The sequence below is a fragment of the Homo sapiens genome, chromosome 10 (assembly GCF_000001405.40).
Source record: "Homo sapiens chromosome 10, GRCh38.p14 Primary Assembly".
Taxonomy (NCBI): domain Eukaryota; kingdom Metazoa; phylum Chordata; class Mammalia; order Primates; family Hominidae; genus Homo; species Homo sapiens.
The window spans coordinates 4,533,451-4,559,010 of NC_000010.11; the positions used below are offsets into that span (position 1 = coordinate 4,533,451).

At 37.5% G+C, this 25,560-nt stretch overlaps 1 annotated feature.

The window, feature by feature from the left end:
* Window positions 24,271-24,772: an enhancer, noted in NCBI's record as "H3K4me1 hESC enhancer chr10:4599913-4600414 (GRCh37/hg19 assembly coordinates)". NCBI's record gives its function as "activates a minimal SCP1, AML or CMV promoter by ChIP-STARR-seq in naive H9 embryonic stem cells {active_cell/tissue: H9 hESC(naive)}" and the evidence as "EXISTENCE:reporter gene assay evidence [ECO:0000049][PMID:30033119]".

Below are 25,560 nucleotides of genomic sequence, written 5' to 3' on the forward strand. Positions count from 1 at the left end.
CTCTCTTAAATCACTTCTATTTTCTTCTATTATTTTTTGAAATCATCAAATTTTAGAATCAGAGGTCATCTTCATGACCATAACAAATCAGGAAATATCATACATGTGACAACACATATGCGAAATCCAAGCCTCCAATCTGTTTCTTGGGCACTGCACATTTACAGTGTTATCAGCATATACATTTATCTTTTCAGAATGATGCCTCACGAAAATTTATTGCAGGCTATACAGAGATAGGTATTCTTTGGAATTCCATCATGCCATATTATATGCTGCAAAGAGTGAGGTAAATAAAATGTGGCTGAAGGGAAGTGGAACAAGCCCGTGCGTGCATGTCATTTCGGAGTAAATAATTCTACAGTCAAAAGCCCAGCCTGTCCACAGGCAAGTCCTGAGTTCACAGCCCAGGAAAGCAGTCTTACAAGGATTGCACCATCTGTTGCCTAAGAAAAGCTAGTGTTTTACTATTTGTTGGTTTGTTAATCAAAATTTTAATTCACGTATTCATTTTTTGTGTAAAAGAACAGATCGTAGGGTGGAGGGTCAAGGTAAGAAAGCAATATAGAAATGTGTATTAAAACTTCTAAAAAATGTTCTAGCAATGGAATATCTCTTTGACCTAAGAAATACAGATGGATCAATTAAACTGTCAAACTCTATGTTGCATGAAGAGAAATAAAAGAACAGCAACCATCAAGACTGTCTTGTAGGCTGAAAGAAAATTATGGCCAGATTAAACCCCACCACTGAGGTTTAGATTAATTTCTAGTTACCCTGGCAGGCCATGGCCCAGGGCAAACCTGAGTAAATTCCTACTCTGTGAACCACCTCTCAGGTTTTGTTCATGGAGAAGGCTACACTTAGCCTCTGATGCCAGTAGAATGGTATACGATTGATTTGACTTGTGTTTTGCCCATATCCTGATTTGTTATAGTCATTATGATGACCTCTAATGCTAAAATTCTAGGATTCTAAAACCAATTTTAAAAATAGAAGGGGGCTGGCCACGCTGGCTCAAGCCTGTAATCCCAGCATTTTGGGAGACCGAGTTTGCAGGATTGCTTAAGGCCAGGAGTTTAAGACCAGCCTGGACAACATAGTAAGACCTCATCTCTACCAATAAAATAAAATAGCCAGACATGGTGGCTCATGCCTGTAGTCAGTCCCAGCTTCTCTGAAGGCCGAGGTGGGAGAATCACTTGAACCCAAGGGTTCAAGGCTGTAGTGAGCTTTGATGGCAACACTGCATTCCAGTAGCCTGGGTGACAGAGACCCTGTATCTTAAAAAAAAAAAAAAAAGGATTCAAGGGAGTACGACTTTTAAAGAAATTGATGCAAGAAAATGAATTAGATATTTCTTGGCTAAATTGGACCTAGAAATTTGAAACATATCTCAAACTTGCTCTTACCTGCCAACTGTTAGGAAAAAATATATATATATATGAGTGAAACGGAGGGAGAAGATTACCCATGGTGAAGCATGCTACCAGGGGCTACAGATATTTTTAATCAATATTAGTGGTATCTTAGACAAAAAGTGTCTGTTGCCAAGCCATGTTAATTAATGATTTTTAAATAGCTATTATTCATCTTTCGTTGTCGCAATAGCATTTGGTTTATGTTGACCTATATTAAAACTTGGTCTCTGTGGTTGGAGTCCAAGTACCATAACATACCTCTATGTTTGTAGTGTCACTTGAGTTTTAGAAGTAGGTGGACATTGGCTGTTTCTGTATGTTTGAACCTAAAATCAGAATAAAGTGTGGGTATGCCTTGGATAGAGGTGTTGCCTATGCTCTTTTCCTCCTTATAGTGTATGTGATAAGGAAACATGACCCCAGCCTCAATTCCCAGGGTAGTCTCTGCATAGGCTGAGCAAACCAGAGCAACCTCATGAACTCTACCAGGAGTGGTTCATAAACTCAGGCCTATGCCAGGCAATGCACAGCCATCCCTTGGTGTATCTGATTGGTCCAAGGGTGGGCATGTGACCTACATTGGCCTAAACTATCTGAACAGAAAGACTTTTATTCTGTGGTTAGGAGAAGCAGTTTTCTGAGTGTTATAACTCTTTATACTAGAAAAAATCTTTCCACCTCTTTGGTTTATTCATTTCAGATTTTTGGCATAATTAAGAGTTCCAGCTAATTGTTTTTATAAAACGTTCCACATTCAGGATCTGTCAATTATTTCTCATAATTAGATTCAAGTATGTGTTTTTTGGCAGCAGTACTCCATACGTAATTATGCATACTTCTGTGAAGTTAAGGAGTCACCAATACCACACTCAGGCTTGATAATTTCCTAGAAGGACTCACATAACTCACTGGAAGCTGTGATACTCGCAGTTACAGTTTATTACAGCAGAATTATATGAATTGAACTCAGCCAAGGGAAGAGGTGCATGGAGCAGAGTCCAGGAGATTCCCAGGTATGCAGCCGCCCTCTGCCAGTGGGATTGTGGGCAGTGCTGTCTCCAAGAAATGATGGGTATGATTTACGTGGAGCGCTGCCAACCAAAGAAGGTCCCAAGCCTTGTGTCTAGAGTGGCCACATACACATCATCGACAAACACCTGCTTGGCTCATCTTTAGAGTCCAACCCCTCCCAACATTGAGGTGACACTGCATGGCCCAAAGCAACACCCAAAATCACACTGTTAGACAATCTGGTGTGGACCAAGACTCCCAGGTACAAAAGACACTTTTATCAGACAGGACATTCTGAGAGCTTAGAGATGACCTCCTGGGTGGCAAAGGCAAAGCACAGGCCTCTCTTTGGGAAAGTTTAGCTTTTTTACTACTATCCATGTCCCTCGGCCAAGGTTCTTTTACAACAAAACAACCATATCTGTTTGAGCATCTACATTTAGTGTAACATTGATATCAATAGTATCCATCTGAATATGGCTAACATTTGGAGAAATCAGTATTGGGCAAGAACAGATTTGTAGAAGCAATTAATTCATCCTATAAAGCCATGTCATAAATTTTCATTTTTTTGTAATAATTTGATAACTCATTGTTCTTCTCTATCTATTGCTATTTGAACTTTACAACAAACTCATTCATAATTACTTAGCATAGAAATTAGATGATGGTTAGCTAAATCCAGCTTTTCCCCAGGCCAGTCATTTTTTTATTGGTATTTTCTCCTGTGAAGGCTTTAATTGTATTTCCCAATACATTTTATTATCAATATCTGTATCAGACTCTTACCAGCAAAACCAGTGTTATAATATATCACACTATGGTAGTAAATGTAACTTGAAAAGTAAGTCAAAAGCTACTGGTCCATTGGTAGAGTCTTACTCCATTTTTAACAATCACTCCAGTTTCTCGTGATATTACATAGCCACAGCATCTCCCAGACAGATGCCACCCAGATTCTAGGCTTCCATTTCACCTTGTCAATTCCAGGATCAGGAGTGCTCGTAACAACATATGGTCTCACCTTTTCAGACATCCAGGATAATTGAGCTAAAAGACAATATCATCTCATGATCAGAACCTCTCAGGAGACATCAATATAGTATTAGATTTGCCTCACTGCCTAACCCAGTTATTCCTTCTTTTCTCCTTTATCATTACATTTACCCAAACATCTGTTTTTGGAAGGATCATTGAATTCGATGACTGTGCTGGTCTAGATAGCCTGCAGTAATTCCAATCTAGCAAGTCCACTCAATCCATGCTCAGTAGTGTACATTAGGGTTACAGAGGTACAGAATTAGCGAGCTATTTCAATCAGACAATATTGCTATATTCTTTGTCAATCCCAGTTTTCCCAGAAGGGATCAATGCACAGTCCACCCCATCAGTCCCTTAGAATTCTAGTATAAAATAAAAATATAGTTTCAGTTTCTTGCTACAGGATAATCCATGCTGCCAGCATCCAGATTTGCAGCCCTAGTCTCAGGACCACTGCATTAGGTAGAAGAAAAGAAAGTTGAGGTGATGTGGGAAATAATTGTATAATCATGCCAACATTTTTCCCACCCCCTCTTCCCAAGATCACCCACAGAGTTGGAGGGATCTATCTAGTAGGAACCTTCCCTTCCAAACACTTCATGTTGAGTGTGAACACACACACAAGAAGGCATGTAAGCTAGCCCTGCATCTCCTTCTGACAACTTCACTCGTGACACCAACTACAGAGTTAAGGAGTTTCCAAGAGGACTCTCACTTCTGACACCAATTGAAAAATGTGGGAGTCCCAAGACCATCTCACATCTCACAAAATTTGTAAATTTGGGGTCCTCAAGACCACCCTTGGAGTTGAATAATTTCCTAGAAAGATTCACAGAACTCCCTGAAAGCAGTTACATTCATGGTTATTATGTATTATAGCCAAGTGATCCAGATTAAAATAAGCCAAGGAGAGAAGTTCATGGGACATACTCCCAGAATATCACCGGTTCTTGTCATTGGGATTGCCTCAACGAAAGATTTTTAAACTTTACTAATACACTGGGCTCTCTTCCTCAGGTGAGAGAAAGTTTGAAGCTGGTACCTGAATTTCCTACTTAAAGCATCTATGAGAAAGAGTAAAGCCAGATGCTTTGTAATAAGTGTCATGAGAGTAGATGGAAATAGCCCAATACAGTATGCAGACAAACCAAAGGGCACGTGTTAAGACATTTAACACTTGTAGTTGTGACATTTCAGGATACAGAGAGTATTTATGGAAGATACCATGACATTCAGATGAGGAATTAAGAGCTGTATCCTTGAGTGAGAAGATACTGCTGTGAGGTCGTGAGTCAGTCTCAGCTAGACAGTCTCATAACATCCTTACTAGCTAATAAGGTGAAGCACAGATGTTACTGCCACAGCTGTTGATTTAATTTGTCTCAATGTCTTTAATCCATTTGATGATCGGTGAGTAAGGAGGGAATTCACTGACTCCCAGTGAAGTAACAATCATGCACGTATTCATTGGTAGTTTAAGGTTGGGGCTGGAGAAGGAGTCAGTGGGGAAAGAATAGATTGAAAACCCTTCCTAGCAATTATTGACTCAGAAAGTCATAGGGCCTGGAGGGACTCCTACCATGGCACCAGGAGGCCAAGACTCCACCTATAGACCTTCATCCAGGTGCCTCAACTTTCAAACCAGCATGACATAGCAATTTATCCAGTATAAGATTATGTCTGGGCCGAGCGCAGTGCCTCACGCCTGTAATCCCAGCACTTTGGGAGGCCGAGGCGGGTGGATCACGAGGTCAGGAGATCGAGACCATCCTGGCTAACACGGTGAAACTCCATCTCAATTAAAAATACAAAAAATTAGCTGGGGGCGGTGGCGGATGCCTGTAGTCCCAGGTACTCTGGAGGCTGAGGCAGGAGAATGGCGTGAACACAGGACGGGGAGCTTGCAGTGAGCAGAGATCATGCCACTGCACTCTGGCCTGGGCGAAAGAGTGAGACTCTGTCTCAAAAAAAAAAAAAAAATTATATCTGCAGGCACCTTGAAAAACTAGATGGATTTCCCTAACTGTGGAAGACCTCAGCATTGAAAGCAAAATATGAAATGGTTTTTAGCATAGGGCATTAATAAGTCTTTCCAGTTTCATTACTGAATCGAAACAATTTGGACTTGCCTGACACAGACAGACTCAATGTGTCCAGATAAGCAGAGGATAATGGTATCTCAGCACCTATCTACTCAATCATGTCTGACATTCACTTTTGCTTAAGCTCAGTTTTCCATGAAGTGCAATATCCTTTTACCTCATTTAATTTCAGCTCAGATCTTGTTTGTTGTTTTTTTTCTAATAATAAAGGCCATATAGGAGACAGACAAAGAAAAGAAAAGAGAAAGGATTTATTAGTCAGCTACAGTCATAATAATGTACAAAAAAATCCCCACAAAATTGGCTTATAACAATAAGCATATGTTTTTATATTGTGGGTCTTCAAGTAGAGCACTATTTGATCCAGCTCATGCCTGACTGGACAACTCTTGTCTGAGCTGCTGGTTCAAGGACTGGCTGCAAGCTATGGACCTGATTCAGATCTGCTCCACGTATGCTTGTGGTGCATTAGGACCGAAGGTGGTGTAGGACCGAAGGTGGTGTAGTATCCAATTAGGCATTTTCTTCCCATGGCACACCATCAGAGCACAAGAGCCAAGCCATACCATGCAAACGCATGTACATCCTCTGCTTATACCACATCTCCTAACGCTGCATTGGCCAAGGTAAGTTACATGGTTACACACAACAGTGGTTTGGAGAGGTATACTCTGCCCAGAGTGGAAGGTGCCAGGAATGAATATTAGCTGCACAATAACCGAAATTATCACCAAGGAAAAATGAGAGTGGAAAAACATTAAATACTCATCTTAAGTAGGTCCCGAAGCTGGCAATCAATAACAGAAAAGCAATGTCCTACCTCATTCCTTGGAAGAGATAGGAGCATGTTCATCGTTAGCTGCTAATAAAATTCTTTTGATAAAAGGAAGTACCTTTATGCCGTTTCAGGTATTATAAGATTTAAAAAGTGGAAAATCCAGTTATATTTGTTTTATCAATAGGCTTGGGGCCTCTGTGAGTTTCAAGTGGTGGTTTACATTGAGAAATGTATGATTTGATTTTATATTATCAGAAACTGATAGGATTCTATAATTTTAGAAGATGCCCAGCTACCAAAAAAAAAGTCTTATTTCATTTAGTGCGGTTGGGTTCATCTTTCCAAATTGTACAACACCTTCCGAGACTACCATAGGTCCTAACATAGATTTCTTCCCCATTCAAATTTCATTTATTCCTCATCCTCCTGTCAAATGTCATTGGCATTAGTATTTTTATATTTAAATTAGGTATTTATGAATAAGAAAGCACCATATACTCATAGTAAAGTGTTAGAAAATGTGGCATACATAAAGAAAAAATATTAGGTCATGTAATTAGTGATTTGCCACTTGTGTTTTGCTATGTTCATTTCTAGTTTTAGTTATATAGACACATACACAAACACACACACAAGCACACAATTTTTCAAAGCTTCTTGGCCCTCAGTTGGCTATTCAGCCAAAAAAATCATTTATTTCTTAAATTCTGGAATATTTTCAAGCATGTTTTTTCTTTCAATATGACTGCTTGCCCATTGTATCTATTTTCTCCTTCTGGATCTCCTAAAAGATATATATTGGGTCTTTTTGATTTTTTTCCCATGTTTCTCTAATTTCTTGTTCATTATTTCTGTTTGTTGTGCCAAAATGACTCTTTATGGCACTCATTGAAGTTTGTATTTTTGTGGTGTTACTTTAAGATTTCAAGCTGTTTTTTTTTTTTTTTTTTTGATGGAGTCTCGCTCTGTCACCAGGCTGGAACACAGTGGCACAGTCTCAGCTCACTGCAACCTCTGCCTCCCAAGTTCAAACAATTCTCCTACCTCAGCCTCCTGAGTAGCTGTGACTACAGGTGTGTGCCACCATGCCCAGCTAATTTTTGTATTTTTAGTAAATACGGGGTTTCACCATGTTGGCCAGGATGGTCTCTATCTCTTGACTTTGTGATCCACCCGCCTCAGCCTCCAAAAGTGCTGGGATTATAGGTGTGAGCCACCGTGCCAGCTCCCAGCTGGTATTTTTGTATATAGCTGTTGTTGTATTCATGGTTACTATTCTTTCCTTTACATCTTCGGATACTATGACTATTCTTGACTTAAAATCATTTTCACATTTTTCCATTGTTTCCATTCAGATATATATTCTGTACTGTTTTGGACTGTGTACTTTATTATATTAAACTCGCTAAGATATTTTATAATTTTTATTTTATGACACATATAACAGCAAAGTGTTCCCCTCCCAATGTGCTCAATTTTATTTAGGGTGATTTTAGAAGGGCCAAACTTTGCCCTCTGCAGTGCTGGTCTCTAGTCAAATTGTACCACAGAGGCTCCTCCTAGCTCTTACTCTGGGCAGTTACAGCAATATCAGATGTTCCCTGGGATCTGGAATTTCCTGGTACATTCATAGTTCCCAGTGAGTCACACCTCTCTGTATCCTTGCCCTTCTGCATTCCCTTCCAAAACTGACACAGCCCTGGCATTTGCTTTGGCAACAGGATATTAGCAAATGTGACACAAGCAGGCATTTGAAATGTGCTTGTGGATTGGGGCATGTTTTCCCTCTTGCTGCTCTTGAGCCTGACCATCATGACATGAAGCCAGCCCCAGCCTGCTGGAGACATGTAGCCCAGCAGACCAACAGCACCTTTATTAGACACAAAAATGTGGACCCCGGGTCATTCAGGCCCAGCTGGGCATCTGTAGCCAGCTGAGAGGCAACGGTGAGACCAGAGAGATCTCTACCTGAGCCTACTTCCAGCTGTCAGACACTAGGGTGTTGCTTTAAGCCACGAAGTTTGGAGTGGCTTTTAATTTGGTAACAGATAAGTGAAACACAGCTCTAACTTTGATGCCTTTATCACTCTCAGAAGCTGCCCATGGCCCTGTTAGTTCAGCCCTATTCAATGTTGATGTTCCTCTCCTGGATTCTGCTCCATGTAAGTCTTCCATTTTGAGATCTGCAGCCATCACAACAACAGGCATGCACGTGTGCTGTGTGTGTGCCTATGTATATAGGTGTGAGCATGCAGGTGTGAGCATGCAGGTGTGTGTATGCAGGTGTGAGCATGCAGGTGTGGATATTTGCTGTGGAGAAGAGCAGTTGCAGGTAGAGTTCACCTGACATCTTGACCCAGAAATAATTTCACATGTCTAAAACGAAAAAACATTATGCTCCACACAAAGTTTTTAACCCTGGTTTTTATTGTCACTTAGCATAGGTAATACAATTTGCCCCAAAGAATTGAATAGTATTAACATGGAAAGTATAATTTTCAACTTCTAGCTAATTACTTGATATGGATTAACATCTCCTTTTATTTATTATTTCTCTGTTATTGAAAGTCAAGTTTGTCTCCAAGCTTTCCTTATTAAGAACTGCCATCTGTGGGACATCTCTTTACATACACAGAGGTGCATTTGGGAAGCATTTTTTACCTTATTGACGTTAAATACTTGTTCACAGGGGTTTTCTCATGTTCCCTCCCCACCTCTGTACTCTAATGCCCTAATATTACCATAATGCCCAAAGTCACTTAGCCTTGAAAATCCCCAACTACAACTGATTTCAACACTTGATGCTTAGCATTGACTTATTTAGTCATCTTATTAATCGTCATCACTAATTTGTATACAATAAATCTTACCTGTCATATTAGAGTACAAACTTAGTGAGGGCATTGATAACGTCGTTTATACTTTCCATATTCCTTATAGTCCTTGAAGCAGCTGTATACTAACTACCAACTGTTTAACAAATATGTCATGTATCCTCTGCTTTGCACACCACTCTGGGGGGAAGAGTATTTCTCTGACTTTCATCCACTTGTCCTGCAGGTCTCCCTCACATTTTCCTACAAAGTGTTATTTGAATCCTTCAGAGATATTTTATGTTACAGATATGTTATGAGATTACAATGTAAACTACAAGCAACTTCCTCATAAGCCTTGCAATTATAGTCTTACATATTTCCTCATTTTATTCTTCTCAATTTAATGTTTAAAGCCATGCATTAACCCATGGCTTCCAAAGCATGCTCTTTGGGGGAAAATAAAATCTCGGTTTATTTATAGTTACTTACAAACTTTTCTACCATGAGTTAACTACATTTTTTTGGATTATAATAAATTTTACATAAAATATTTCAGAGAATTTAAATAAAAACATACACACTAAGCTTTGAGTAATGTATATATAATATATAAATCATAAAGAATAATATCTATAATACCATTTGTTAAGTACTTTGCCTATTAATAACATGGTAAAATTCCTATATCGTTCCTCATTATTTCAGATAAATTTGCTTTTTCTTCCTTCTTTCCCAGTCCTCCCAACTTGATCAATATTTGTAATGAAATTTAGGAATAATATCATTTATTACCAATTGGAATAATAAGCATATTTTAAAATAACATTTTCATATGCCTCATAGAAAGCATTCAGTGAAAAGTTAAATTAAACAGACATTTTGTCTTTCTTTCTTTCTAGGGAAACAGATCCCCTGAGTACTAATCCATGCAAGAAAACAAATGGAAGTAAATGTGGAAATCAAAGGGATAACTCAAGTTAAATCACCCATCCACATTTTCACTAACTATACAAACTGATGAGGTTATGCATTTAGCTAATATGCATGTAGCTAGCTACTTCTGATCAAGTTAATTTACCTGACAATCTCTTTTGTTATATTATTAAATCATGCTCACTTGCTGTGGCATAGTCTCTCCTAGTTACCACTACTTTTTTTTTATATCCCATGTATAAATATTACATTTTAATAAAAAACGCATGTCAAGAAACAAGCTCAATTCAGAGGCAACTGGGATTATCAGGAGATACAGTCATAAGTATGTTCCTGGTAACAAATCTAGTAAGGATTTTCAATCAAATCTGGCTTCTTCTACCACAGACACCTTTATTTACACAATATCTTAATTTATTACTTCAATTTACTTGCTGGTCTGTTTTATTTGTAGGCTTAGTCTAATTTTAACACTGTCAAGAATAATTCACAGAGTATCAGGTGAGTCTGCTTAGAAGAGGGAACCTACGTTAATCTTTTCTGACATTAATAGAATTGGACCTTATTAATTCTGACATGATTTATTTCATATCGTGTAAATACTAAATGCAAGCATCATGTTCTCATTGAAACAAGTGTTTTACATGCTTCATATACTGCAATTTGCAACATGAATTGAAAATGAGCCTTGAAAACCATTTGAAATGACTTAATTCTTGTCAAACTTAGAAAGATTATTACTGCCAAATGGGAAACACGAAATGCTGACAAACAGTGCTCCAGGACGTCACTGGGAAGAAAGAGAGCAAAGGCATGCACAGCCTGCGGGGCTTGCCAATATCACTCAGGCAGATATTCTTCTTACGTTAACAAAAATTATTCCCAATAGAGATACACCTGCTTAATGCATATTTATTTTTTTATTTTATGTACGGAGAACTGAAGTTCCAATACAATCATGTTTGAGTTTTGTTGTTGCTTTGTTTTGTTTTTGTTTTTTCATCAGGGAAGATATTCTCGAGTATAATTGTCAGGGACGATGCAACTTGGGTGTGCCTGGAGCGGGTAAGAAAAATGATGCAGGGACATGGATGAACCTGGAAACCATCATTCTCAGCAAACTAAAACAGGAACAGAAACACCAAACACCGCATGTTGTCACTCATAAGTGGGAGTTGAACAATGAGAACACATGGACACAAGGAGGGGAACGTCACACACCAGGGTCTGTCGGGGGGGCGTGGGGGGTGAAAGGAGGGACAGCATTAGGACAAATACCTAATGGATGCAGGGTTTAAAACCTAGATAATGGGTTGGTGGGTGCTCCAAATCTCCGTGGCACATGTATACCTATGTAACAAAACTGCACATTCTGCACATGTATCCCAGAACTTAAAGTACAATTTTTTTAAAAAGAGAATTAATTTAAAAAAAAAAAGAGAAGAAAATGAACCCACCTAATGCCTCTACTTCTGTTTACCTGAGTTGCAGTGTGTGTGTCCTATCATTTGTTAACTCATGAAAAAGTTAAGCTACGTTTTAGATTGTTTGCCTAGGTTTCTCATAATTTAGGTGAGCTTTTTAAAGAAATAGCCGAAAAGATTGGGGGAAAATTATTATTGCTCTTACTGTTAAACGGCAAAGCCAGATTTTAACTTCTCTTTTTACTAAGTTGGGCTGATGTCATCGGTCGGTTAGCCAGATGATTTAGGACAAACAGTTGGTTGACAGTCCGTTGGATAATTTTTAAAGCATGAGAATGCTAGGATTGCATTTTTAGGGGCCATGGTGTATCTACATCTAAGTTGCAGATGTGTGGAAATCCTTTGAACTACTTTCTAAGCACTATAAAATGAAAAGGAAATATTAATACTAGCTTCCTTCGAATGTAAGTGACTTGATCTCTGATGCGAAGGACTTTTTATTAAGAAACAGAAAGGATACTAGGTCTTTGTTCTTTTGAAACAAGAGCAAAGATGGCACTTCTTTTAAGCCTCAATTATTTATTTACAAGAAACATGGGGAGAATTATTAGACAAAGGTTTCAGATTTCTAGAAAAGTTTATTTTGTAGCTGTCAATTGGGGTGTGAATTACGTAGCTTAATATAGTATGTGGATAACTGGAAGAAAGTGAGAAGATTTGCTGCATTGTACATTTTATATAATATCCATTGTTAACTTGAACTAAAATACTTTATGCAAATTATTGAAACAGATAAATTCAAAATTATTTTTTGTAAATCATGGTTAACTTTAAGAAGTTTTTCTAAAATAACCATTCCATACATCAGTGGCAATTTTAATTTTCCTAAATTTGGTGGGAGTAGTAACGTTATGACGATGTAGTAATAACACCAAAAGCAGAAATAGTTCACCCGTTAAAAAAGTGATATCTGAAATTGTATTTGTACCGATGAGAGCTATTTCATTGGAAGATCAATATTTTAAACCTTAAACACATTTCCAGGACTCACGGAAACCGAACAGCACATCAAATGCCAGGAAGGTGCAGTGATTTCCCAGGGCTACGCACCTGAATCTAAAACCCAGATCTCGTTCTGCAGCCTGGTTGAGTCTATAACAGCATATCATCCCGTGAAACATATCTAAACATTATCCTTGCATATTTTAAGTTATTCAATGGGATAAAACTGTGTCTTTAGTATATTTGTCTTAAAAGTATTTTATTTGTTGGTGTGTTCATTAGCATGCGTCTTCTTCTATTTTATGTTTCCATGCTCGATTGCTGTCTTTTTTTTCCTGTATTTATGTATCACGTCTTCCCTTTATACCACAATTTCCAAAAGTCATTGATTCCCACCACATTGTAGAAAATAATTGATGAAAATCAAGAAGACCTGAGTTGTCTCTTATTACTGAATTTTAAATGACCCTTTGAGGTGCTGGCCTATATTGCAAAGCTTAAGTGACTCTGAAATGTTGGTTTCTATAAATCGAGTTTGGTTTGTTTTCTTTTAAAGCTGTAAGTCTCAGTGTAGACATATGCTTTCATTTCCCTTGGGTAAATACCTAGGAAAGGAATGGCTAGGTCATATGGTAGGTTTATGTTTAACTTCTGAGAAACTGCGGAATGGTTTTCTGGGCAGCTGCACCGTTTTGCACGCCCACCAGAAAGCACTGAAGGCTCCAGTTAGTCCTATCCGCATCAATATGTGGTGTGGTCGCTCTAACCTTAGTCACTGTACTGGGTAGGGAGGGGTGTCTTATTGTGGTTTTGACTTGTTTTTCCATAATGACTAAGTATTGAACACTTTTTAATGTTTTCATTAGTCATCCATGTATCTTCTTTGTAAACTGTCTGTTCAAATCTTTGCCTATTCGTTGTTGTTGTTGTTCAAAATTACATGTCTTTTTGTGATTGAGTTGTGAAAGTTCTTTATATGTTCTAGATACATATCTCCTGTTGGATATATGTTTTACATGTATTTTTCTTTACTCTGTGGCTTGCCCTTTTACTCTTATCAGTGTCTTCTGAAAAAGCATACATTTTTATTCATTTTTATTTATTTAATTTTAGTTATTTAATTTGTTATTTTATTATTTAATGTATTTAAATAAATTTTATTTATGTATTTAATTTTATTTAAATTTATTTATTTATTTGTTTATTTTTATTCAAACTACATTTAAACGTCTGTTTCCCCAATTTGTGATTCTATCTCTTAAGTAAATCAAGGTTCTGCTATGTAAAATAAGTTAATCAACAAAAATACTGAGTATAAAAGTACTATTAATAAATGCAGTTCTGTACCCAATCTTATTTTTTATTTCATAATTAAGAAATATTTGCCAAACGAAGGGACATTAATTTTCCCCTTATGTTTTCTTTTAAAGTTTTTATACTTTCAGCTCTCACATTTAGATCTATGAAGCCTTAAAAACAATGTGCCAAAGACATATTTATTTTAAGAAACTGGAAAAATAACAGCAAAAAAATGCAAACGACAGAACAACAAAAGAAATAAAATGTAAAAGTAACTAATAGAATAGTAAATCACACAGAGGATCACCAAAGCCAGAGGTTGGTTTAAGAGACTCATAAAACTGATACATTGTTGGTGAAATTGGCCAAGAAAAAACAGAGATGGAACAAATAACTATTATCAACCATAAATAAGAAACATCACTATAGATCATATGGAAATACATTTAAATAAATGGTATTATTAATAGAACAACTTGTGGCTGTCTGGAGGAAACATAAGTAAGTGTGATATGTATTTCACAATGTTCACCAGATTACACTTCTAAGGGATAAATGATTTGAATATAAAAATTAAATTCATTAAAATAACATACAAATAATTTTTCTTTGTAAGTTTTAAGTGGGTTTTTAAAATTATTATTTAAAATCCAGTGGAAATAAAAAACGATATACTTTTTTTTTTTTTTTTTGAGAGGGTGTCTTGCTCTGTCACCATGCTGGAGTGCAATGGTGCGATCTCGGGTCACTGCAACCTCCGCCTCCCGGGTTCAAGCGATTCTCCTGCCTCAGCCTCCTGAGTAGCTGGAACTACAAGTACGCACCACACACCTGGCTAATTTTTGAATTTTTAGTAGAGACAGTTTTTCACCACGTTCGCCAGGATGATCTTAATCTCCTGACCTTGTGATCCACCCGCCTCGGCCTCCCAAAGTGCTGGGATTACAGGCAAGAGCCACTGCTCCCGGCCTTTATTATATTTTATAAGCCTACTATGTTAAAAAGAAAACTCTTCATTTCCTATGGTAAAACCATCCAACAACTAAAATAATACGTTTGGGTTCACACCTTGGAGGGAACAGAAAGAAGAGAATCTTCCTAATAAATTAAAGTTTACTGAAATACAAAAGTCAAACAAATGATAAGAAAAATATTAACAATCTTAAAGAAAAATGGGAAAAGAGAATGAACAAAGGGTTCAAGGCAAGGGAAGTAGAAACAGCCTTTAAACATAGGAAAAGATGCCAACCTCTACTGCTAACGCTAGAAATGGAAATTCAAATTCCCTGTAGCTCCACTTTTTGCTATCAGATTGGGAACATTCCACGTGTTATGTAACCATGGAGGGTAAAACTCTGGGGAAAGCTGTGTTCCCATACACACCTTTTGGTCTGCACATACCTTCAACCCCTACAGAGGGCATTTTGGCAATACTAGCAAAATAAAAAATGCATACATTTTCTTTGAACTGGCAGTTTACTTCTCATGATCGATCATATAGCTTGACTACTCGCTGTGTAACTTATGAATGATTTCGTTCATTGTGGTCTTGAGGTAGGAGATCAGCAGGATTTATTTTCAAAAACCAATCACCACCCCGCTGACCAATATAGGATGCAATAAAGAAACCAGCAGAGGTCGGATAAGGTAGCTCACGCCTGTAATCCCAGCACTTTGGGAGGCCGAGGTGGGTGGATCACCTGAGGTCAGGAGTTTGAGACCAGCCGGATCAACATGGTGAAACCGTGTCTCTACGAAAAATACAAAAATTAGCCCGGCATGATAGTGTATGCTTGTAATCCCAGCTACTAGGGAGGCTGAGGCAGGAGAATCACCTGAACCCGGGAGGCAGAGGTTGAAGCAAGCCAAGATTGTGCCATTGCACTCCAGTCTGGGGGTTGCAGTGAGACTCCGTCTCAAAAAAAAAAAAAAAAGAAAGAAAAGAAAAAAGAAAAAGAAACCAGCAGATGGGACAAAAACGACCTCTAGTTGCCCCCACTGCTCATTAGCATAAGGACACTCCCACCAGCACCATGACAGTTTACAAATGCCATGACAATGACCTGTAGTTACCTTATATAGTTCCCAGAATTTCTCACTCCTCTTCTAGAAAATTCTGAATACCTCACCCCTCAGTTAGTACATAGTTAAGAGTGGACATAAATAAAGCTAGCCAGCAGTTCATGAGTTTCCCTCTAGGCTGCTCTGTCTATGAGAAAGTCCTGCTCTGGCTGTGGAGCTGCCATTTTGCTGCACCCTGTAGCTCTAATAAACTTGCTTTCTTTCACTGTTGGCTCATTCCTGAATTCTTTCCTGGGTGAAGGCAACAGCCCTCCTGGGCTGAGTCTCTTTTGAGGGTTTGCCTACACTGGTCTTGTTTATAATAGCAAATCGTTGAAAACAACCTCAATATACATTAATAACAAATGCTATTTGTTATTAATGTATGAAACAAACATACATTATGAACAGGCTGATGAAACAAACATTGGTCAATCTATAAAGTGGGAAGTTTTTAAGGCTAAAAAAACAGTATTCATGGAAAATATCTAAGTTATATATTTTAGTTGAATAAAACAAGTTACAGACAATATGTAATATTTGAAAGCTTAATTTTAAAAAATGTTGAAAATATTCTTACATATCCATCTCTAAATGAAGACGCATAAAATTTCTGGAAGGATACAAAAAAACATGAAGACCAGTGTGTTACCCTTCGGGTTACATTGCTCGTATCAGATTCAAAGTGAATAGAAAGCCCAGAGCCCAGCTTCAAGGTGAGCTGTTTCCTTTGAACCTCATGTGAATAGGTTGTGAATGAATTCACTCAATCATGCACTGTGGCAGGCCTGTTTGAGAACCACATGAAATATTACATATGTGAGAAAACACAATAAGAAATTATTTTTAAATAAAATAAATGTAAAATATAAGGATCAGAAAGGAAGGTACCAAGCACTTCTTATTTGAAGAAGATACAATGCTTTCATAGAAAAAAACAAAGAATCTACAAATACTGAGTTAATGCTCTTTCAATTTGCTATCACGGCAAACAGGAACACATTAGCTGCCATATTTTTCATTAAATCTATCCCAGCTAACCCAATCTAAGCTAACCCAAATCCAAGCTGGGTTAGAATTTTTGGAGTTCTCTGAGTATAACTCTTTCATTTTTAACACATTGCTGTGTGCTTCCTTGAAGTATCATTGAGTGGTTTTATGAGTTAGTTTGATCGATTTACTTGGATTATAACATCCCAGAAAACAGGGACCAATATTTTGTTTCATTCTTAAGGCCTGTGCACTGTCTTGTCATGTGGGCAGTTTGTGGATAATAAATATGCTCATTTAAAATAATACTTGGAATGAATAAATAACTGCAATGGAACACCAAAATTCTGGACTTTATGAGTGATCCAACTTATGCAATAGTCTAGGACAAAGTGTGTTCTCCAAACCAGCAGCATCTGCATCACATGGGAAATCAGAAATGAAGATGCTTGGACCCCAACCCAGACCTACTGACTCAGAAACTCTGGGGTGGGCCCAGAAATCTTGCTTAGAAAGCCCACCAGGTGATTCTAATGCAGATGACATTGGTGGGCTAGTGTTCTTGGAGTTAAAGACTATGTCACCAAATAAAGAGACAAGGTGACAGCTTCTCAAGCAGTTGATGATCAGGCATTACTGCTTGGGGGCAGTAATTGTTTGCACCAGTTCTCTGTTTGACAGCCTTGTCTCAATTTGATTATTTTGTGAAAAGGTGCCCTTGACTCTGATGTCTTTAGGGTTAAAGGCACATATACCTTTGAACTGTGGAATTCCTGTGGAGCAAGGCTTTTCAAACTTCGCTGTCTGTAAACTTTCACATGGAGGATTTGCTAAAAACTGGGCTCTAGTCTCAAAATGTAGGTTCACTGGATCTGGAGTGATTCCTAGCATTCTGTATGTTTTTTAAACAAGCAATCCTGTGAACCTGTTGCAGGTGGGTGATGGACCACATTTGAGACTCACTGTGCTACCACCTTGCTGCTCAAATTATGATTGCAAGCCAGTGGCACTGGGATTGGCTGAGAGATTGTCAAAAATACAAAATCAGGCATCCCATCCTCTACCCATGGAATCGGAAACTTCATTTTAGCAAATTTCCTGAGACATTTGTTATGCATATTAACATTTGAGCACTGTTACAGAAGTTGATGAGAACAATAAGTTATTATATGACAGGACACTGGCTGAAAGTAAAGAACGACAATTTCCAAACAACTTATTCTCCATGGTCATTCCCAGGATTCTATTAAATCCTACCACTTTTATTCCTCTTGATTTCTGATTACATTTTTCTTTCATAACTGCAGGTTTAGGGGAAAAAAACTCGATGTGTAATATGTTTATTATAGTACATATTTAAATAGCTCTCATTAAAGCTCAGTGAAACATATATAGCACTACAAATGACACTAATGCAATTAACAATAATTTATGTGGGACCCTGTATGTTTTAATACACAGAAATAAATTACTTGATAATAGAAAATTAATAATGAATTTGTGATGCTTGTAGTAAGATGCTGACCCAATCATGTATTGTTTCCTTTCTAGATTTTAATATTTATATAATTTAGATGTTACTTTTAAAAAAAGGGAGTATTTTAAACTCTTATAATTATATCTATTTCTATTAATTTATAGTCAAGAGGGGTACATTTACTTAAGGTAGAAAAACATCATTTACATTGCATTAACATTTTACTAAGAGATAAAATGTTTTCACCTATTAGTATAAAGGAGCTTATTAGACTTTGAGTATATGGCTTTTCAATTTATTTTTGTATAAGCAAAAATTTTCACTTAAAACAATATGGCTATTTTGATGATCAGCTACTATTCTTACTTGTTGCCATTTTATTTATTTATTCATTTATCTATTTTTTTGTAGTTAGCCTTAGGGACAGTCTGATAGATCTTAGTATTAGGTAAAGACTAAAAGTGCCTAAAACCTTACAATATGTACGCTAAAAGCTGCAGAAGACTTGCCTTAAACATAGTCAAAACACCAGCTTCCTATAGGGTGTGGAATGGCCACAAATCCTTTGGGAACAAGGGATATAAATAAGTATATGAATAAATATTTGTGGCATAATGGAGGCGGTAACACGCAGGACTGTTGGTCCAAAACTATCAACATGACTAGACTATCGCACATTCCTTCACCGGAGAGAGATCGTTAAACAGAAGACTGCACCTTCTTCACTGCAAATACTCCTGGCGGGGACACTCCTGAAGCTCTTGGGAGTGATCCTCCCTCCTGGTCCAATGCCAGAGAGTGTGAGGGGAAGGCATCTGTGGGAACGGCCCAGGGCCCAGAGCAGGGAGGCAGGAGCCCAGCAAAGCCACCTTCTACCCCTTTATTTAATTTCCTAACTCGGAGGTTTTAAAGGAAAAGACAAGCAAAGGCCTTTTATTGATGGAGAAATGTGATTCTTAAATTTGTGTGTACATAGACAGAGAAGACCTGCACATCTGTGTTGTTTTCAAATGAAAGTTCCATGGAAGAAGCTCCTGTTGAATCTGGGAACCACCAAGGACGTTGGCTGGTGTGTGGGCAGCACTGGGAGGGCGGCTTGGGTGGCCACACTGCTCTGCTCCGAGGTATTGGTTTGATTTGGGGCATTTGCTTCATCTCTCTCTGCCTAAGTTTGCTCATCCATAAAATAAATTGGACTAGAAGATCCCTAATATCCCCACTGTTGTCTTTTTTTTTTCCCAAAGAGCAATAACCAGTGAAAAGGAAAATGAGTAATTTATATTTTCTCAACTAGTTTTGAAATTACAACCCTAGGCTTACAGCACTGCAGTTACTTCCTATGATTCAGTTAATTAAAAAATAAAATACAAAAATATTGAAGAAAAAGGAAAAAGTGATTTAGGCAAAGAATAAAATCATGATTTAACACTGAAGCTCCAGGCTTCGTGGGCGTTGAGTAGCATTAAAGCTGGGTGAGTGCTACATTTCCCACCGCACACTTCACCCATTCTTTACAAGAAGCAAATTCACATCTTGCAAGGCATTACATTAATTTCTGACATCTTCCATGCATTATAGTCATTATATCATTAACTACACACGGATTTTATTTTGAAAAGAGGGAAATGAAACCATCGTTAGGTTCTTGACTGAAGACCTGAGAACATTCTACTTAAATTAGTGAGTTTCATTAAGATGAATTTCATATGAATTGCACACGTGAATAATAATTGTTGATAGAAATGAAATAAATCTACTTGGTTTAAAAGTGCTAAGTGGTAATAATGAATGAGTATAATTTACCTGGATAAACGTAGCTAGAAATATGATTACCAATCATTTAAATATTTAGGTTTTAGAGGGAATTTTATATTTCAAATAATGATCTCTAAACAAATCATATTTCTTTAAATATCTCCAGTATCAGTGGCTTATTTTTCTAATACCTCAGGCTTAAAGATGATAATGGTGTCTGGTCATATCTAGGATGAGTGAGTGTTACTCAGTGAGATAAACATAAGAACATTTAGAAAATGAGATGATAAAAACTAGATCTGTATTTACAGTGAAGCCACCCAAGAGATGCTCTCTATATCTAGTAAAATGTTATCTATTAGTCAATCAATAGTATAATAATTAAATTACTCAATAACATTTTTTAAAGAGAAAGGTTCTTGCTGTGTTGCCCAGGCTGCAGTGCAGTGGCACCATCATAGCTCATGGCAGCCTCCACCTCCTGGGCTCAAGCCATCCTCCTTTTTCAGCCTCCTGAGAAGCTGGGACTACAGGTATGAGTCACATAATGAAACTTTAAATGGACTTATGGGTCTACAATTTTAGGATCTGGAAGATAAGAATCTTCTGAATTGGCCAGAGTTTCTTTGAGGACATTTCAAGATACTAAGGGACAGAAGCTCATTGTGATGGTTTGTGCAGCAGCAATACCAGTAACTTTGAGATGTTAATTCCTCTGCTCCAGGCAGCCCCCTTCCTGACCTCAGCCACACACACACACCACAGGCTAGCTTTACCCACTTAAGGGACGGGCACAGGGACTGGCCCTGAACACATAGCTCAGCTTTATCAAGAGGACCAGATGACTGCTCTTAAGATGTGTGTGGCGGGTGATTTAATACAAATAATCACATTGATCAGTTACAGGGGACACCTATTTGCAAATCTTATTTAGTTTGAGGCAGGCACAAAGGTGGCATCCAATTGTAACTCTCTTAACTTAATGAGGCACAAGGAAACCTTAATTTCCAATGTTTTCTAATAAAAACATACAAGCAGAATAGAAGATTATACCATCTAACAAAGAGGTTCTACAGATTTTACATTACTTCCTTTTTTTAAATAGAAATCCTCTGAAAAAGAGGTACATAGACCTTGGAATAATTAACTTAAAAGCAATAAGTAATACTCAAAACCTCTTAATTCTAATTTCAAATATTTAAAAAAGAATGTTGGAGATGATTGTGAAGATGTTGGTCAAAAGATTAAAAATTTCAGTTAGACAGGAGGAAAAAATTCAAGAGATCCATTGTATACCACGATGACTGTAGTTAATAATACTTTATTGTGAACTTGAAAATTGCTAAGAGAGTAGCTTTTGAGTGTTGTTACCACACAAAGATAATACACATGTTATTTAGCTTGATTTGGCCATTCCACAATGTGTGTGTATATAATGTTGTACACATGATACTTTAATTTTTGATATTTAACTTTTCTCAATTAAATAAATAAATAGATAAGGAATATTGTAACCTGATAAATACCAGGTTTGTTTTGAACAAAACAACAGAATGTATTTGCCCAGGCTTAGTAATATTCCCTTAAAATATCATCGTATTACAATGAGATCTTATACTTTATATAGGTGTGTGTATATACACACAGAAACACATACATATACTTTCATGAAAATGAGAATAAAAACATTTTAGGATGATAGAAACAATGTATAGTGAAATAAATTGGTACAAGTAAATGTTTATTGAAAATTTATGGCCAAATTACAAGTGGTGACTCTTAAAATAATTTGCATGCCTAACATAGCCTATGCACAAATGTGTCACATTTTTTTCTTTTCTTTTATATTATATTGAAGGGTTATTTGTGAGAACATCCACCTCATAGTTGGGAGCCCTCCCTGGAAATTTGTATCCCTCAACCTTGATATTCTAATTTCTACAATGAAATCTCCAGAAACAGCTTCATATGGTTCAATGAAGAGGTTTGCAATTCAGGGTAACTTGTGGGCCATTATTTTTCCAGTAAAGAAAGAAAAAAATGAAGAATATAATATATTAACCTTATTGTACAGAGTAGCTGGAATATTAAGAAGTAACCTCTGACCTTAATTTATTGATAAGGGCTTGCCTTTGAGTTAAAGAATTTTGTAGACCTAAAATATACACAGAAATCGGGGCTTAAGAAAGCCTGGCAATCTGATAAAATTAAGTAAAATTTCTTTTGCTGAATGGACAGAATCATGAATTAGTTGGTTGAGCGTGTCCACAATATAACTTTTCTTCCGTGAGAGAATTTTGGAGGTTGGCTTGGCAGTTAATAAAATTTGCTTTAGAGATGAGAATCAGACATTGCAAAGGTCAGACAGAATTCCTCAGCAGATTCTGCAGTCATGAAAAATTCAGCCATTCCTCTTGATTTCCTCCCTCGCACATTGTATGAACATTTCCGCTTGCTGGCAGGTGTGTGCCTGGGGCTGGGTATTGGACCCACCTGATTATTTCCTGGTGTATCTCGTCCTTTCCACTTAGCTCCCTGCTGCCTATTCTAGAAGCAGCATACACAGATGCATGAGCCAGTGTCTGTGGCTTACTGCTGAGCCATTCTCTTCTAAATACCACCAGTAGTCCCATTCCAACTGAGAGCCAAAGATAGGTTAAAATAGAGTATTTTCAGTTTCTACAGTTTGTGGCATGTATTTATTTTTGTTTTGGTTTTTACTCATCTGATTGATTTGGGGGGGTTGGGAATTACCAAAATGCTTTCGCACAGAAAATACTTTAGGATCTTGGTTTCAAAGGACACAACTCTTACCTATCACAGGGATGCACCCATTCACTTAATAGTTTATAATGAGACAGTGTGATTCATACGATCAACACTGAAGCCACAGTATATCGTATTCTGTGCCATATGTTCTCTGTTGCATGGGTATTCTGGAGCAAGGGGGAAGTGAGGCATCTTAAACTGGAAACTAAAATGTAAAGAAAGAACCAGATCTTTGGATTCTTGGGGAGTTGCATTTAGAACTTGATTTTGATGTCATCTTGCTTCAAAATTTCTTTTTTTTTTTTTTTGATTCATCCCTTCCCCAGAGTGACTTTTCAATATGATTATAATTAAAATATGGACAATTATTGTGCTGGCTCTTAGATCACTGAATGAGTCACATGTATTACATCCATCACTATACCAGCCTAGAACTCTTTCATTTCTTGTATTAATTAAAATCTACCATATTTCTAACAGGAAAATAGTCATTTTAAATAAAGGTCTGATTTTTTACAAAGTGTGTATGAGACACTCTATTATACAGCTGGGAGCAAACAGGTATGGGGAGCTTGCAGAAGGAAGTCTGCAGTAGAGAGAGAAGCAAAGGCAGTTGGCATATATGCACTTTGGCCTAGATTTTGCACACTGCAGCTGAGTGATTTTGGCAAATCACATATCTGTTCTGTACTTAAATTCTTTTATCTATAAAATGGTAGCAAGCTGTCTTTAAAGTGTAAAAAACTAACATTTCCTTGGATTGGGTTTCAACGTACTCCAGTAGCTCAAAGATCTTCATTTCTATCTATATTCTGAATCCTATTTCTGTCATCTGAACCATCTCAGCCTGGTTCAGAACCCTTGCAGGGGAGATGATGTGGTCATTTGGAGGAAAGAAGACCCTCTAGTTTTTGAGTCATCAGGTTCTTGCACCGGTTCTTTCTCATTTTTGTGGGCTTATGTTCCTTCAATCTTTGAGGTTGCTGACCTTTGGATGTTTTTTATTCTTGTTTTTGTTTCCTACTTGAAGACCTTGAGGGTTTGATTGTGATATAAGATGGATTCAGCCGAATGATTTCATTCCTGGAAGATTTTTGGGGGTCAGCTCTTAGCTCCCAATTCCTGGACTGTGGGCTCTAACTCTGGGGACTTGTATTGGGCCCTGACTTTGTTCTCTGGCTCCTCCAGTTTAGGAGTCTACTGTGCTGGGTGTGGCTGAGGTGCTCCCTGACTGCTGGTCACTCCACTCCAAAGGGTGGTGTCAGCCAAAGCGTTTCACAGTGCGGTGACGATGGGATCCGCCCATGTTTGCACGTGCCAGGAGCAGCGGTAGCAGCAGCTCCAGGGAGGTGCACACTTGTCAGCGGCAGTGGGGTGCTGGCGGGTGCCAGAGGGCCTGCCGCCCTAAGGTCGTTCACGATGGTGTCAGCGGCAATGCAGCTGGGGTGGAGGGCCTGCTGGCAGCTGTGCGTGCAGTGACACTGGTGGTGTTGGCTGCACACACACAGTTTGGTGTTGGCTCCAACACTAACATTTCAAGTCTGGTGGTATATATCTATCGTCTATAGTACACATTCATTTTCTATCATGCGCAAACACTGTGTTAAGGTTTTTAATTTTTAGTCACCTTAAAAACAATCTTCTTGTATTGTTTTGTTTTGATACAAAAACTCTTAGGATTGTTGTAAGTATCTCCATTTTCAGAGAAGAAAATGGAAGCAAATGGAGACTGACTTCGCCAGGATTGCATGACCCAAGGTAACAGTGCAGCAAGGACAGCAGCTCCTGTCAGACAAGAATCTCTTCAACTTACTGATGACAAATTTACATCCCTGCTTGAATCGACTCTCCTTTTCTTTCTCTCGTTTTATTGATCTCTGAATGCCATTTTCTTCAGCCTTCTTTGAAACCTACTGTTATTTATTTGTACTGTCCACTCCCTTACTATCTTTAAACTCTCCCTCTTGTGACTGTCACATGCAGACATTCAAATATGCACAGTTCATGGATATTTTAAAAATGCAACAAAACTAGATACTTAAATTACCTGAATCCATCTAGCTTCCAACACACCGTTATTCACAGCCAAAACACATATTCTTAACTTCTGCACCTGCCAGTCATTACTCTACCGATCCCAATCTAGATCATATATTTAGAAATTTCTGGAGTTAAAAATGTAGCTAAGAACAATGGAGATTTTTAGCTTACCTCAAAAATCTTCTTTAATCCCTAGGTTATTTAAAAGTGTATTTTTTAATTTCCAGATATCTGGGGGAATTTACCAGATAGCTTTATGTTCTCAATTTATATTTTAGATCTGTTATTGTTTTAGAACTCACTTTATACAATCTCTGTACTTTTAAAGTTGTTAATGTTTCTTTCATGACCCAGAATTTGGTCAGCCTTCTTGAATGTTTCATTAAAAAGAAGGTACATTCTACTCTCCTTAGAATGTTCTATAAATGTCTATTAGACATTATTGGTTGGAAATATTGTTCACGTGACCCATATCCTTACTGATTTTTCTGTATATTTATTGCAGAAAGGAGTGTTATTAAGTTGTTACTATAATTATAGATTTATCTGTTTCTCTTTCCAAATATATCGGTTTTAGCTTCATGTATTTTGAAGCTCTATTTTTATATGTACATACATTTAGGATTCTGATATATTTTTGG